The sequence below is a fragment of the Homo sapiens genome, chromosome 17, assembly GCF_000001405.40.
Source record: "Homo sapiens chromosome 17, GRCh38.p14 Primary Assembly".
Lineage (NCBI taxonomy): Eukaryota > Metazoa > Chordata > Mammalia > Primates > Hominidae > Homo > Homo sapiens.
Genome location: NC_000017.11, coordinates 970,496 through 985,745, shown reverse-complemented (window position 1 = coordinate 985,745; position 15,250 = coordinate 970,496). Strand labels below are relative to the sequence as shown.

At 50.6% G+C, this 15,250-nt stretch overlaps 1 protein-coding gene across 3 annotated transcripts in view, besides 4 other annotated features; it reads left to right on the top strand.

Annotated features, from left to right (window-relative positions):
- Positions 4,403-4,697: an enhancer, noted in NCBI's record as "tiled region #9475; HepG2 Activating DNase unmatched - State 1:Tss, and K562 Activating DNase unmatched - State 12:CtcfO". NCBI's record gives its function as "activates a minimal TATA promoter and a strong SV40 promoter by Sharpr-MPRA in HepG2 and K562 cells {active_cell/tissue: HepG2 | K562}" and the evidence as "EXISTENCE:reporter gene assay evidence [ECO:0000049][PMID:27701403]".
- NXN (nucleoredoxin) overlaps positions 5,970-15,250 on the top strand; it is a 180,467-nt gene continuing 171,186 nt past the window's right edge. For all 3 annotated transcript variants that reach the window (XM_005256756.5, NM_022463.5, XM_017024949.2), the window contains exon 1: positions 5,970-6,427. In XM_005256756.5, the coding sequence (XP_005256813.1) occupies positions 6,068-6,427 (360 nt within the window). In that variant the 5' untranslated portion in view covers positions 5,970-6,067. The remainder of the gene's footprint in view (positions 6,428-15,250) is intronic.
- Positions 6,122-7,057: an enhancer, noted in NCBI's record as "H3K27ac hESC enhancer chr17:881929-882864 (GRCh37/hg19 assembly coordinates)". NCBI's record gives its function as "activates a minimal SCP1, AML or CMV promoter by ChIP-STARR-seq in naive H9 embryonic stem cells {active_cell/tissue: H9 hESC(naive)}" and the evidence as "EXISTENCE:reporter gene assay evidence [ECO:0000049][PMID:30033119]".
- Positions 12,314-12,813: an enhancer, noted in NCBI's record as "H3K4me1 hESC enhancer chr17:876173-876672 (GRCh37/hg19 assembly coordinates)". NCBI's record gives its function as "activates a minimal SCP1, AML or CMV promoter by ChIP-STARR-seq in primed H9 embryonic stem cells {active_cell/tissue: H9 hESC(primed)}" and the evidence as "EXISTENCE:reporter gene assay evidence [ECO:0000049][PMID:30033119]".
- Positions 12,814-13,315: an enhancer, noted in NCBI's record as "H3K4me1 hESC enhancer chr17:875671-876172 (GRCh37/hg19 assembly coordinates)". NCBI's record gives its function as "activates a minimal SCP1, AML or CMV promoter by ChIP-STARR-seq in primed H9 embryonic stem cells {active_cell/tissue: H9 hESC(primed)}" and the evidence as "EXISTENCE:reporter gene assay evidence [ECO:0000049][PMID:30033119]".

The window sequence follows — 15,250 nt, the reverse complement described above, 5'->3', positions numbered from 1 at the left end:
AAAAACAAAAACAAAAACAAAACAGCTGGGCGTGGTGGCTCACACCTGTAATCCCAGCACTGTGGGAGGCCGGGGCGGGTGGATCACGAGGTCAGGAGATCGAGACCATCCTGGCTAATATGGTGAAACCCTGTCTATACTAAAAATACAAAAATTAGCCGGTCGTCCTGTCAGGTGCCTGTAATCCCAGCTACTTGGGAGGCCGAGGCAAGAGAATGGCATGCACCAGGGAGGCGGAGCTTGCAGTGAGTGGAGATGGCACCACCACACTCCAGCCTGGGTGACAGAGCGAGACTGCGCCTCAAAAAAAAAAAAAAAAAAAAAGATGCTAATGATCATTTGAGCCTTTAGCAAGTTGAAATCATTTTGCTGGTGGAGGGTCTTGCCTCAATATTGATGGCTGCTGGTGACTGATCAGGATGGTGGTTGCTGAAGGTTGGGTGGCTGTGGTAAAAGCGCTTAAAATCAGACTGCAGCGAAGCTTGCCGTATCCATCATCTCTCCCTCTCAAGAAAGATTTCTCTGTAGCGTGCGATGCTGTTTGATAGCATTTTACCCACAGTAGAACTTCTTTCAAAATTGGAGTCAGTCCTCTCAAACCTTACCGCTGCCTTATTAAGTTGACGTTCTAACTGTCTTTGCTCATCTACAAGAAGCAACTCCTCACCTGCTACAGTTTGGTCATGAGACTGCAGCCATCTCAGCCCCATCTTCAGGCTTCACCTCTCATTCTAGTTCTCATTGTTTCTACCGCATCCGCACTTTCTTCCTTCACGGAAGACACGTGTGATGGTTGGAATCAACTTCTTCCAAACTCCTGTTAACGTTGATATTTTGATCTTCTCCCATGAGTCACGAATGCTTTTTTTTTTTTTTTTTAAGAAAAAGTCTTGCTCTGTCACCCAGGCTGGAGTGCAGTGGCACAGTCATGGCTTACTGCAGCCTCGACCTCCTGGGCTCAATCGATCCTCCCACCTCAGCCTCCTGAGTAGCTGGGACCATGGGTGTGCGCCACCACACCCAGCTAATTTTTTAATTTTTAGTAGAGATGGGATTTTGCCATGTTGCTCAGGCTAGTCTTGAACTCGTGACCTCAGGTGATCCGCCCACCTTGGCCTCCCACAGTGCTGGGATTCCAGGCATGAACCACCGCGCCCGGCCCACATCATGTGTGCTACTCTTTCTAAAGTCCAAGGACTGTGATTTATGAATCTTAAAAGTGACAAATATATATTTGTGCTGTGTGTATTTCGTATGACTTCATGTGCCTTCAAAAGCAATTTCTGAAGAGAAAATTCTAATATGTTCTACAGAATGCGATACATGTTGAGGCTCATTCCTACATATTTTAAAACAATAATAATTTTCAGAATAGCCAAGTCGATTCATGTAACATCGCTAGCTGAACACCAGTGGGGACATTCTCCTTTAGAGAACCACATACACAGAGAGCAAGATTTCTGTAGCCCAGAGCACACTGGCTAATTCTTCACAGGATGCCAAATGACTCCTTGGGCTTCTTATAACACCCACTACAATTATGATTCTGGGATCATTTCCATTGCAAATCCCCTCTTTCCACACCCCTTTAAAAGGCAGCTGTGATATTTGGCCTCTAACCAAGGCCTGCCGCATCCACAATTCTCTAAATTTTATTTATATTTCATGTGCAGTGTGTTCGAACTCTCCCTTCCCCAGGTGCCAGATGCTGGTTTGGACACACTCCAGTGGAAAGTGCTTTCCTGTTAAATAAGACAAGTCACACATGGAAGAAACCTCCTCTTTATATCAGACTTGCACCAAGTATACCAAAGTTAATACTCGAATATTTGCAATATTTGCAGCCCCCCAAATTCCCTCTTCACCGGCCTCCACACCAAATGCCTCTTGCCCTTTGGCTGCCGTAGCAGGTAAATGCTGATAGCCCTTTTACATTTCTGTAGTTTTCATAATTTTGAAAGTGTCAGAGTGTAGGACTCTAACACTCTTTCAGTAGTGCCTAACCCACGTACCCAGTGCATGGGCCTTTCAGATAAGATTTGGATGAGATGATAAAACATTGTAACCCATTTACAGGATTTCAAAAGATGTCTAGTAACTATGTGTGTGTGTGTGTGTGTGTGTGTGTGTGTGTATATATATACTTTTTTTTTTTTTTTGAGATGGAGTCTCTCCCTGTCGCCCAGGCTGGAGTGCAGTGGTGCGATCTCGGCTCACTGCAAACTCCGCCTCCCGGGTTCATGCCATTCTCCTGCCTCAGCCTCCCGAGTAGCTGGGACTACAGGTGCCCGCCACCTCGCCCGGCTAATTTTTTGTATTTTTAGTAGAGACGGGGTTTCACTGTGTTAGCCAGGATGGTCTCAATCTCCTGATCTCATGATCTGCCCGCCTCGGCCTCCCAAAGTATTGGGATTACAGGTGTGAGCCACCTCACCTGGCCTAGTAACTTAATATATATGATATGAGTAGCTTTAAATGTTTTCACCAAGGCCGGGTGGTGGCTCATGCCTGTAATCCCAGAACTTTGGGAGGCTGAGGCGGGTGGATCACTTGAGGCCAGGAGTTTGAGACCAGCCTGGCCAGTATGGTGAAAACCCCGTCTCTATTAAAGATACAAAAAATTGGCCAGGCTTGGTGGCGGACGCCTGTAATCCCAGCTACTCCAGAGGCTGAGGCAGAGAATTGCTTAAACCTGGAGGGGCGGAGCTTGCAGTGAGCCGAGATCGCGCCACTGCACTCCAGCTTGGGCAACAGAGCAAGACTCTGTTGCAAAAAACAAACAAACAAAACAAAACAAAAAAATTAGTGCATGCCAGTAATCCCAGCTATTTGGGAGGTGGTGCATGCCTGTAATCCCAGCTACTCGAGAGGCTGAGGCAGGAGAATCACTTGAATCTGGTAGGCAGAGGTTGCAGGAGCTGAGATCGCACCACTGCACTCCAGCCTGGGCAACAGAGTGAGACTCTGTCTGTAGGGACCAGCCCCACAGGGTCAGTGGGTCTCTCCCCGTGTGCGGAGACGAGAGAGTGTAGAAATAAAGACACAAGACAAAGAGATAAAAGGCAGCTGGGCCTGGGGAACCACTACCACCAAGTCGCGGAGACCGGTAGTGGTCCCAAATGCCAGGCTGCACTGATATTTATTGGATACAAGACAAAGGGGCAGGATAAGGAGAGTGAGCCATCTCCAATGATAGGTAAGGTCATGTGGGTCACGTGTCCACTGGACAGGGGGCCCTTCCCTGCCTGGCAGCCGAGGCAGAGAGAGAGAGGAGACAAAGAGAGAAACAGCTTCCACCATTATTAGAGACTTTTAGTACTTTCACTAATTTGCTACTGCTATCTAGAAGGCAGAGCCAGGTGTACAGAATGGAACATGAAGGCGGACTAGGAGCGTGACCACTGAAGCACAGCATCACAGGGAGACAGTTAGGCCTCCGGATAATTGTGGGCGAACCTGCAGTCAGGCCCTCCACAAGAGGTGGAGGAGTAGAGTCTTCTCTAAACTCCCCCCGGGGAAAGGGAGACTCCCTTTCCCGGTCTGCTAAGTAGCGGGTGTTTTTCCTTGACACTTACGCTACCGCTACACCACAGTCCGCCTGGCCACGGGTGTCTTCCCAGACGCTGGTGTTACCGCTAGACCAAGGAGCCCTCTGGTAGCCCTGTCTGGGCATAACAGAAGGCTCGCACTCTTGTCTTCTGGTCACTCCTCACTATGTCCCCTCAGCTCCTATCTCTGTATGGCCTGGTTTTCCCTAGATTATGATTATAGAGCGAGGATCATTATAATATGGGAATAAAGAGTAATTGCTACAAACTAATGATTAATGATATTCATATATAAGCCTATCTAAGATCTATATCTGGTATAACTATTCTTATTTTATATTTTATTACACTGGAACGGCTTGTGTCCTCGGTCTCTTGCCTCAGCGCCTGGGTGGCCTGCCGCCCACACTGTCTCAAAATAAATAAATAAATAAATAAATAAATAAATAAAGTTTTCACTAAAAAGTGATGCTTTCTGTGTGTGTTTTATAATATTGTCCCTACAGTGGCACAGACTTTCAGCATGAAAGTCTCCTGAGAATTAAGGTGGAATTCGACTTTGCAGTAGGATTCTAGGGTGTTCGAAGGCGGTCCTCCATCTAAGATCTTACCTGTGTCATTAGCAATACCAGCAGGTGACTAAGGAAGTGGATATAACTTGTAGAGACGCCAGTCCACTTTCCGCTCCCATCTCCACCTCTCCCAATTGTTTTATATGGTAACATTTCACCAAGCTGGAACCCTGCACCATTCCTTATTCTACCCTAGAAAAACGGAGAACCTTCGATGTGAACACTTACGTTTTGTGCCAAAAGCTTGAAGTTCTATTCTGAGGTTTAAATTAGCTCCCGCAAAGCGTCCTATCATTTGTGTATGTGGAAAGCTGCTGTAAAATAAAAGCATTGTGCCTGGTGTCCCGGCAGTGTCTTTTCACAAATGGAGTTTGGTCGGCCTCATTTTTCACTCTTTCCATTAGGTGGCGATGGATGCACAGGAAATATCCTCCGAAGCGGCGGTGGAAGCTCTGAGAGGGGCGGGTTTTCAGCTTTTATTTTTTTGCTTTCGCTGAGTCGTCAGTAGCTGATCCACACCGGCGGCCTGTTACTGTGGCTGGGCCCGGATCTGCACCTGCTTCGTGCACCAGTGGGTTGGGTTGGGGGGAGGCGCTGCGTGGCCAGAGTACTCGCCACGGACCACCTGTTTTTTTGTTTTTTTTGAGACGGAGTCTTGCTCTGTTGCCCAGGCTGGAGTGCAATGGAGCGATCTCGGCTCACTGCAGCCTCCGTCTCCCGGCTTCACGCCATTCTCCTACCTCAGCCTCCTGAGTTGCTCGGATTACAGGTGCCTGCCACTACACCCCGCTAATTTTTGTATTTTTAGTAGAGGCGGGGGGGGGGTGTCACCATATTGGCCAGGCTGGTCTCGAACTCCTGACCTTGTGATCCACCCACCTCGGCCTCCCAAAGTGCTGGGAATTCAGGCGTGAGCCACCGCGCCCGGCCCAGACCACCTGTTTAATCCAGCTTCTCCCTAAGCATTGGGGAGCATCCTGCCAGCTGGTAGGAAAAAAAAAATCTCTAGAAATGTTCTCAACTATCCATAGACTTGACATGAGGATGGAGCGGATTCAGGAGCGCGGCCAGCATTGGTCTGGAGGCCCCGCGGCGTCCTTTGCATCCATTTGTGGGGCTGGAAGACAGATTCGCTGGGGGGAGAGGCCCCGGCGACCCCTGGACGGAAATCCCACACTGAGACCTGGCACCCTAACCAGACCCCACCAGAAGCTGCGAGGGCGTCCTCGGCCCCCTTAGAACAGCTTGGAACACACAGAGGAGTCAGTGTCCAGCCAGGCCCGGCCTGATGCAGTGAGGACGGCGGGTCCTATAAGCATCTCAGGGTCAGTGGGGCCCGGAGCGGCCTAAGGGTCAGGCTTCGTGCAGGGAGAGGAGGAGGGAAAGGCCGGGGAGGAACAGGAAGAGGGTGAAGAGCTCCGCGGGGAGGGGGCGGGATCCCTGGAGGTCTGGAGGGAATTTAGAACTGGGGAGGAGAGAAAATGCGGGCCGGGCTGCAGCCCGGGAAAGCGCCGGCTCAGCGGGCCCTTCTCCTTTCTTCACTTCGGCCGTGGGCTTTCCAGGGAGAGTGCGGCGTTTCGGGTCCGGCTTCTCGCCCAAGCAGTCACCCCGCGCACCGCGGCCGGCAGCTGCGGACCCCGCCTGGGCGGAGAGCTCTGGCCACCGCCGGCCGCAAACGGGGCGTGGCGAGGGCGGAGGGGGCGTGGCGAGGGCGGGCGGAGGGGCGTGGCGAGGGCAGCCGAAGGGGCGTGGCGCGGGCCGCGGAGGGGGCGTGGCAGGGCGGGGGAAGGGGCGTGGCGCGGGCAGGCGGAGGGGGCGTGGCGTGGGCGGCCCTACTGGGCCGGGCTCTGCTCTCCCCAGCGCCTGCCGCCGACGCCGCCGCCTCCTCCCGCCGCGCGGACCGTGGAGCGGGGTCGCAGCCGCCTGCCCGCCCTGCGGTGGGCCAGGATGTCGGGCTTCCTGGAGGAGCTGCTCGGCGAGAAGCTGGTGACGGGCGGCGGCGAGGAGGTGGACGTGCACTCGCTGGGCGCCCGCGGCATCTCGCTGCTGGGTCTCTACTTCGGCTGCAGCCTCAGCGCCCCCTGCGCGCAGCTCAGCGCCAGCCTGGCCGCCTTCTACGGGCGCCTGCGGGGGGACGCGGCGGCCGGGCCGGGGCCGGGAGCGGGGGCCGGGGCGGCGGCGGAGCCCGAGCCGCGGCGGCGCCTGGAGATCGTCTTCGTGTCCTCGGACCAGGACCAGCGGCAGTGGCAGGACTTCGTGCGGGACATGCCGTGGCTGGCGCTGCCCTACAAGGAGAAGCACAGGAAGGTGAGCGGCGCGGGCCTCGCCGGCCCCTGCCCGCCCCCCACGCCCGTTACCCCTGCCCGCCCCCCACGCCCGTTACCCCTGCCCTCCGCCAACCCCGTTGTCCCCCTGCCCGCCCTCCACCCCCCGACCCCTGCCCCCAGTCCCCCGCCCCCCGACCCACTGTCCTCTCCCCGCCCCCCACCCCGCCGTCCCCGCCTCTGCCCCCCCCCCTTCCGCGCTGTGCCCGCACCCTCATCCCAGGACCCCTCTTTGGTTCGAGTGCTGCGCTGCGCCCGCCCTGGAAAGTTGGACCCCCCTCGGCCCCCGGGATCCCGGCTCGAGCCCCTCCGTCCGCACACGCTGGGAGCCTCGGGTGGGGGCGGCTGCGCTCGGGGATCCCGGTTCCGCGACCCCTTCACCCGCGAGCAGAGGCGCCAGGCCCTTCCTGCCTCCGCCGCCGACCCCCGCGGATTCCCACAGTGGGGAGGGGAGGGGAGGGGAGGGCGCACGCCCCCCGCCCGTGGCGCCCAAACCAGCGCGTTTCCTTTCTTTCCGGGAGAAACCTGCCTTCCCGGAGCCCCTTCCCCGGGGACCGGGGACCTGGGGGCCGAGGCCGAGGTCAGGAGAGGCGGCCGGTGACCGTGGCCGTGGCTGTGGCCGAGAAGGGCGCTCACGGCTCCGTCTCCCGCCCCCGCCTCCCCCGCCCCAGGCTGAGTTCGCGGCCACCGGGGAGCTTTGCATTGTCTGGCCGTCCAGCCTCCTCCCCAGACGCCTCCCGGGCGCGGGAACAGCCCGGGCTGTGCAGAGCTCAGCTGCGTGGTGGCCCCTGTGGTCCCGGGGTCTTCGAGTTAAGGGCTGAGCTGACCCCATCGATGCACATTGACTGGAAGAAGGAGGATTTGGGGAAATGGATACTTTGCTGTCAACTTCTCGTGTCTCCCAGTTTGCTGCCGAGTTGAGTTTGGGTTTCTGAGTGTGTCCCTTGGGTGAGGATGTCTGTCTCTGTGATAATAAAGCACATCCAGGACATTTTGTAATGAATGGAGTCAGAAAAAGTTTTGGAGCGCTGTTGCTTCGTGAGTGTATATGATGCAACGTGTGAATCCAGCCCCTTTCCCTTTTTGAGGAAAGCCTGTTTCTGGAGTGGACAGAAGGGCTATTCTGGGGGCGTTTAGTTTCCTCTGGGGAGCATGGCGAGGCGTGCCACGTGTTCCTTTTATATGTGCAGAATCTTGTTGAGAAGCATGATTTAGATTTACTGGGAGCAAAAGGCTTACACTGTGACCCCAAATGTCTTGAGTAAATCATCCATCCCGAAGCAGTGGGAGGTAGAGATTCGAGATTTAAAGTATGAAATACAGTTGATCCGATGCAGTTTGTAAATTTCATATTGGGAAAACATAGGTTCACTAACCACTCAGAGGCAAGAGTTGGCATTTTTACTGCTTTTTAGGTTATTTTGCCCATTTTGATTGACATGCTTGATATAGTATGAATATGCATGGCCAGTACTTTTTGATTCAAAATACGAGAATCCTTTGTTTTCCTTGGTGGTGGTTTTTGTGATACGTTCGTGGAGAAATAATGTTCAGAAAGGGATTTGCCAAAAAACATTTTCATTGTTACGGCAAGTTTCTGTTGTAGACTAAAGTCTACTTAAAATAATGTCCTTATCCGGCAATACAAATGATTTCTAGCTTTTGAAAACATAGAATTATGGTAAAATGTTACAGGCTTAACAGCCTATTGTTGTGTTTTTTACTGAAGAGGAAATACATTTTTTGGATAGTAAAAATATGGAGCAAACAGATGTTTTGCAAATGCTTAGAGCTTTTTCCGAAAAAGGAGAATATTTGATAGGACATGGGCCATGGCTGGCTCTCTATACCCTGGACAGGCTCTTTGCATGACAAAAAGTATTCTGCGGCCCTAGCCTGGACCTGCTGATTCCTCCATGATGAGAACCTGGATGACACAGGGCAGACTCTCATTTGAAAATACCGTTGAGAGTGCTGGACGTGCCCAAACCCTGGTGCGTTAGCATCTTAAACATTTTATTTTTTGGCCCAGAGTTTTTCTGACTCACATCCTATACTTTATTCTCTAAAACCAGTCCAGTTTTCAAGGAGGTAGTTTCTTTCCTTGGTCGTGAACAAACCACTCAAGATCTTTCTCGGGGATATATACCAGGTAAAAAGACTCCAGCTGTCCTTCTTATGGAACACATACTCTTGGAAATTACAAAAGCTACGTGCTGATTTTAAAAGGAATTATTGCCGGGTGCGGTGGCTCATGCCTGTTATCCCAGCACTTTGGAAGGCTGAGGTGGGCGGATCACCTGAGGTCGGGAGTTCCAGACCAGCCTGACCAACATGGAGAAACCCCGTCTCTACTAAAAATACAAAATTAGCCAGACCTGGTGGCGCATGCCTCTAGTCCCAGCTACTAGGGAGGCTGAGGCAGGAGAATCGCTTGAACCTGGGAGGCGGAGGTTGCGGTGAGCCGAGATCGCACCATTGCACCCCAGTCTGGGCAACAAGAGCGAAACTCTGTCTCAAAAAAAAAAAAAAAGGAATTATTTTCCCCCTTGAAACCAAAGAGATGTGGAACAAATGCCTTTTCTGTAACTGAGTTTTTGTCTCATTTGAAGTTAGGGTGCTTAGAAGCCCGTGAGCTAATGATGCTAATTTCCCCATCAGAACAAGTGAAGAGCCGGAGTTCTCCCAGCTGAGGGCACTGGATGGGTGAACACGTCTTGTGGATGGACTCTATCCGTGTCATTTCGCCAATGATAAAAATAACTCTAGAGAAGGGAATTTTGTTTTACACTGAAGGGAAACCAGAGTTCCAGATTGCTAATTTTTTTTAAATTCTCATTAACATTTGTTCTTTAAGCCCATGCGTATACTTCTTCCCATTGGGATAACAAAGGGTATGGTTCTAATTAGTTATTGGCTGGCATTTCTCTAAAGAAAATTGAAAAATTATGGTGGGGAAAGAAAATGCTGTGTGGTATTTCTTTTTTTCTTTTATTAATTTCTCCTTTATATAGTTAAAAAAAACCTGGGGATGACCGTATATGTTAAGCCTGCATTTTGCCTGGTTCCTCTCACCTTGACAGGAACTGTGAGAAAACACCAAAAAAAAAAAGGACAAAAATGTAAAAAAACATTCTTTATACAAAATTGTCCTGTTTCTGCCTGTTGTCATGGTAGGTACAAAAGTAATTGAAGCTTAATTTTTTTGGCTTCCAAAACACATATTATTTCAGCTTCCAAAACACACATTATTATATAGCTGTGCATAAATTGTAATTAGATGGTAATAGAACTTTGAGAGCATTTATAACAATTTCATCAGCAAATCTATAATCCTGAAGTTAAGGCAGTTAGACTTGTTTTAATAAGTAGGTTGGTAGATGATTTTCACATTTCTAGAGAGAAGGAATGTGATCGATAGTCAGGAGGTGGTGAAATTTGGACTTTGGGGATTTGGTCTTCCCTTTGGATTAGTATGTTACTCACTCGTCAAGACTGGAGAGGTCCGTCTCCGGGATCCACTTCAGCCTCATAGAAGTGAGCACTCTTTTGGTGTTAAAGTCGCAGAGCTCAACTTTGTCTGGGCTGGATGCCTGATCAAAAACATATGGTCAGTGTGGGTGCACTGACATCCAAGGGTGCAGACCACTGGCTTCCTCTGGACAGTTTTGTGAGGCTCTGGTGTGGCCCCAGGACTTCCTGCATGACAAAGGGGAAGAGAAAGTCTGCAGAGTCAGGGGACCCTGGTCCAGTATCCCTGGTCAGCCTGCTCCAGCCAGGGGAAGTGGAGTCTCACTCTGGCTGCTCTGGGTGGTTCTTTCAGTTCAGACTCAATGAGAAGCTTGGCTGAGAATTTACTTGAATCCCTTTGGCCCTATGGGTGGGACAGGATTTGGTAGCAACCTCAACATTCTTACAACTCCAGCTCTGCCACTCTTCCTTGAATCCAAACACTGCAGCCAGGAAGAGAACAGTTGCTGTGACACCACTGTATCTTTTCTTTGCATTCACTTTCAAGGTGGGAAAAGATGGCAAAAAGGTGCAGATTTGAAAATTAGGATTTTCTGCCTTCTTCATAAGAAGCCCGGACCAGCCAGGACAGGCTCCCACTGGTGACTGTGTTTCTAGGACTTGGGCCAGTCTTTTAGTAATAAAGGACAACAGTCCAGTTAGGAGCAGGCCGGGTGTGATGGCTCACACCTGTAATTCAGCACTTTGGGAGGCCAAGGTGGGGGGATCACTTGAGCCTAGGAGTTTGAGACCAGCCTGGGCAACATGGTGAAACATTGTCTTTGCAAAAAATAACAATTAGCTGGTCACAGTGGTGGGTACCTGTGGTCCCAGCTACTCGGGAGGCTGAGGCAGGAGGATTGCTTAAACCCAGGAGGTGGAGGCTGCAGTGAGCCATGTTTGTGTCACTACACTCCAGCCAGGACAACACAGCAAGACCCTGTATTAAATAAATAAATAAATAAATAAATAAATAAAAATAAAGTAATAAGAGCAATGTTCCTTGAGAGGCTTTTTCTTGTTCCATCATTTGTAATATATTTTTTAATCTCTTTGTTTTTTCTCTGCATAATAAGGCAGTCTAATACATGGCTAAAAATATAGAGTCTTTTGTCCTTCTGCTTGAGTTCACGCCCCCGCTCTGCCGTTTATTAGCTGTGTGTCCTTGTGCAAGGCGCTGTACATCTCTGTACCACACGTTCCTTTTCCATTTGTGATAACAGCACCTGCCTTATTGTGTAAAGGCTACGCGAGATAATATACACGTGCCTGGCATGTGGTGAGTGCTCAATAAATGCTATTATTGTGTTTAGATAAATGATCATTAAGTTTAGTCATTCATTTCATAGCTTGAGCCTTGGGAATCTATCACATTACTGAACTGTAAAACGGTTATGAGGTATATCCATATATCTATATATATATATCTATATACTTTTTTGAGATGGAGTCTCGCTCTGTCACCCAGGCTGGAGTGCAGTGGTGCGATCTCGGCTCACTGCAAGCTCCGCCTCCCGGGTTCACGCCATGCTCCTGCCTCAGCCTCCTGAGTAGCTGGGACTACAGGCGCCCACCACCACGCCTGGCTAATTTTTTTTGTATTTTTAGTAGAGACGGGGTTTCACTGTGTTAGCCAGGATGGTCTCGATCTCCCGACCTCGTGATCCGCCCAGCTCAGCCTCCCAAAGTGCTGGGATTACAGGCATGAGCCACCGCGCCCGGCATGAGGTATATTTTTAAACTTTTCAAACCAATGACTTTTACAAGCATACAAGGGGATTTGATGAAGGTGTCAAAAAAATTGCCCTACAATGGCCGGGCACTGTGGCTCACGCCTGTCATCCCAGCACTTTGGGAGGCCGAGGTGGGTGGGTCACTTGAGGTCAGGAGTTCAAGACCAGCCTGGCCAACATGGTGAAACCCCATCTCTACTAAAAATACAAAATTAACCAGGTGTGGTGGTACACACCTGTACTCCCAGCTACTCGGGAGGCTGAGGCAGGAGAATCGCTTGAACCCGAGAGGTGGAGTTGGCAGTGAGCTGAGATCGGGCCACGGCACTCCAGCCTGGGTGACAGAGCAAGACTCCGTCTTGGAAAAAAAAAATTAAATAAAAAAAATTGCCCCATAAGAGATTATAACTGCGAAGAAAGACCTAGAAGAATGAAACAACAAATACAGTGCCTTAAAGTCCCGGGATATTACTGATACTTACTGAGCTCTGTATTTCTATCTGCCAATGACGCTCCAGACTGCTGCTGATCGACGAAGCCTGGGAAAGATTTAAGTTACTATTAAGTTACCCTTTCAGTCACCCTTGTAACTTAAAGATGATCAGGCACTCTTCTTGAGAGAAATTACGCACAAAGCAATCATTTTGTGGTTTCCCAAAGCTATTAGGTGTGTCTTCCGCTGACCCTGTTTGCTTAACTCTGGGCGGTGTAGAGGTTGAAAGACTGCTGTTTCGCGTGGGAAATGGAGGGTGCTCATCTCTGGAGCTGTAGAAACGCCACCTCTAGCGTGGACCTGCCTCCCGTCCCAGCTCTGGAATGCTGCGGGATGGGTTTGCTCAGACATGTAGGCATTGCTGGTTTGGTACTCATCTCCCAGTTAGCAGCTCAGGCCTGCCTCTGAGTAGCCGTCCACAGCTCTTGCTGATCGATTTGTCTTCTGACACGGGTTGGAATGTGAGCTAGAGCACAGAGGCAAGCCCTGGAAGTTAGGGTCACTGATTTGATTCTACCTTTTTTTTTTTTTTTTTGAGACGCAGTCTCGCTCTGTCGCCCAGGCTGGAGTGCAGTGGAGCGATCTGGGCTCACCGCAATCTCCGCCTCCCGGGTTCCTGCCATTCTCCTGCCTCAGCCTCCCGAGTAGCTGGGACTACAGGGGCCCGTCACCACCCCTGGCTAATTTTTTGTATTATTAGTAGAGACGGGGTTTCACCGTGTTAGCCATGATGGTCTCGATCTCCTGACCTCGTGATCCACCCGCGTCAGCCTCCCAAAGTGCTGGGATTACAGGCGTGAGCCACCGCACCCGGCCCTGATTCTACGTTTTAAAATATTCCTACCTTTTGTTGGGAAGGTGTTGTAATGTGCACACACATTTGAGAAAACAGGCTTTGTGCACAGCTGGGGTCGGGGTTGAACAAACCCCTTGGGGATCTTCCTTTTTCCTGACAGTGATCAGGGTTCCAGGGCTCCAGCTCGTCCCGTTGTGAACTAGGTGGGATCCTTCCTGCATGATTTCATTTTGGCCAGGAGAGCACAGGCTTGGCATAGGATGTGTTTTCTTTCCTTTTTTTCTTTTTCTTTTTTTTCAGATGGAGTCTCGCTCTGCCAGGCTGGAGAGCAGTGGCGCGATCTCGGCTCACTGCAACCTCCGCCTCCTGGGTTCAAGCGATTCTCCTGCCTCAGCCTCCCGAGTAGCTGGGATTACAGGCGCCAGCCACCACGCCTGGCTAAGTTTTGTATTTTTTAAATTTTTTTTGAGATGGAGTTTTGTTCTTGTTGCCCAGGCTGGAGTGCAATGACACCATCTCAGCTCACCGTGACCTCTGCCTTCTGGGTTCAAGCAATTCTTCTGCTTCAGCCTCCCGAGTAGCTGGGATTATAGGCGCATGTGCCACCACGCCCGGCTAATTTTGTATTTTTAGTAGAGATGGGGTTTCACCATGTTGGTCTGGCTGGTCTCCAACTCCCAACCTTAGGTGGTCCGCCTGCCTTGGCCTCCCAAAGTGCTGGGCTTACGGGTGTGAGCCACCGTGACTGGCCAATTTTTATATTTTTAATAGAGACAGGGTTTCACCATGTTGGCCAGGCTGGTCTTGAACTCCTGACCTCAGGTGATCCACCCGCCTCGGCTTCCAAAGTGCTGGGATCACAGCGTGAGCTGCGGCGCCCGGCCAGGATGTGTTTTCTTTCTTCATGATCTGAATTCCCAGTGGTGCATGGTGTGAACCACCAAGGTGCTTAGTTTTCTGTGTTGCATTGAATTTACCGTTTATGCGTATTCCAAGACAATCAAGGAAAATCGCTATGAATTTGGAATCTTTGTGAATCCTGACTTTCTTTTTTTTTTTTGAGATGGAGTCTCGCTCTGTCACCCAGGCTGGAGTGCAGTGGCGCGATCTCGGCTGACTGCCAGCTCCGCCTTCCCGGTTCACGCCATTCTCCTGCCGCAGCCTCCCGAGGAGCTGGGACCACAGGTGCCCGCCCTCACGCCCGGCTAATTTTTTGTGTTTTTAGTAGAGACGGGGTTTCACCGTGTTAGCCAGGATGGTCTTGAACTCCTGACCTCATGATCCACCTGCCTCGGCCTCCCAAAGTGCTGGGATGACAGGCGTGAGCCACCGCGCTCGGTCTGTTTTTGTTTCTCAATGAGTGTTTTAAAGAGGACTAAATGAGCAAATGGATGTCACAGCTGGGTGAGTCCCAGCAGCTTCTTGTGCAACTGGATTGCCGTGTGATTCTGTGCTCAAAAATAGGAAAAAGCTTGACTCTCCATTTTTGAAATGTCAAATATCTGAGTCTATTAAAAGAGACTCGGCCACGCGCGGTGGCTCACGCCTGTAATCCCAGCACTGTGGGAAGCCGAGGTGGGCGGATCACCTGAGGTTGGGAGTTCTAGACCAACCTGACCAATGTGGAGAAACCCTGTCTCTACTTAAAATACAAAATTAGCCGGGTGTGGTGGTGCATGCCTGTAATCCGAGCTACTGAGGAGGCTGAGGCAGGAGAATCACTTGAACCCTGGAGGCGGAGGTTGCATTGAGCCGAGATCGCACCACTGTACTCCAGCCTGGGGAATAAGAGTGAAACTCCGTGTCAAAAAAAAAAAAAAAAAAGAGTCTCATATCTGCAGACCTGTCATGCCATGCTTTAATATTTCATTGTTTGCATTTCTCTAGCATCTTTCTTCCAAAGAACTCAAAATGCGTACATATTACGTCTTCCAGCAACTAGTAATCAGTAGATATTCACCGTTTTAACTTTTCCAAGTATGTTAGAGCTGGAGAATTGAAGCAAAGAGCACCGATTATTAGATCAGGGTCACAGTGTTGGATGAAAGAGCTTGGCTGAACTCCCTTAAATTCAACTTGGTCCTTTCTGTTCACGGAATTGTACCTTAAAAAATACTCACATCAAACGTTCCGCATGGAGGAGGAGGAGCAGCAAGCCTCTTCAGGTGGCTTTCTTCCTCTAGGTGTGCAGGGACCGCTCTGAGATAAGACAGAGGTAGTTGAACGGCTTGAAACATTCGCTGGTTGCTTGGAAGGCAGGAGAGCGAGAACCTC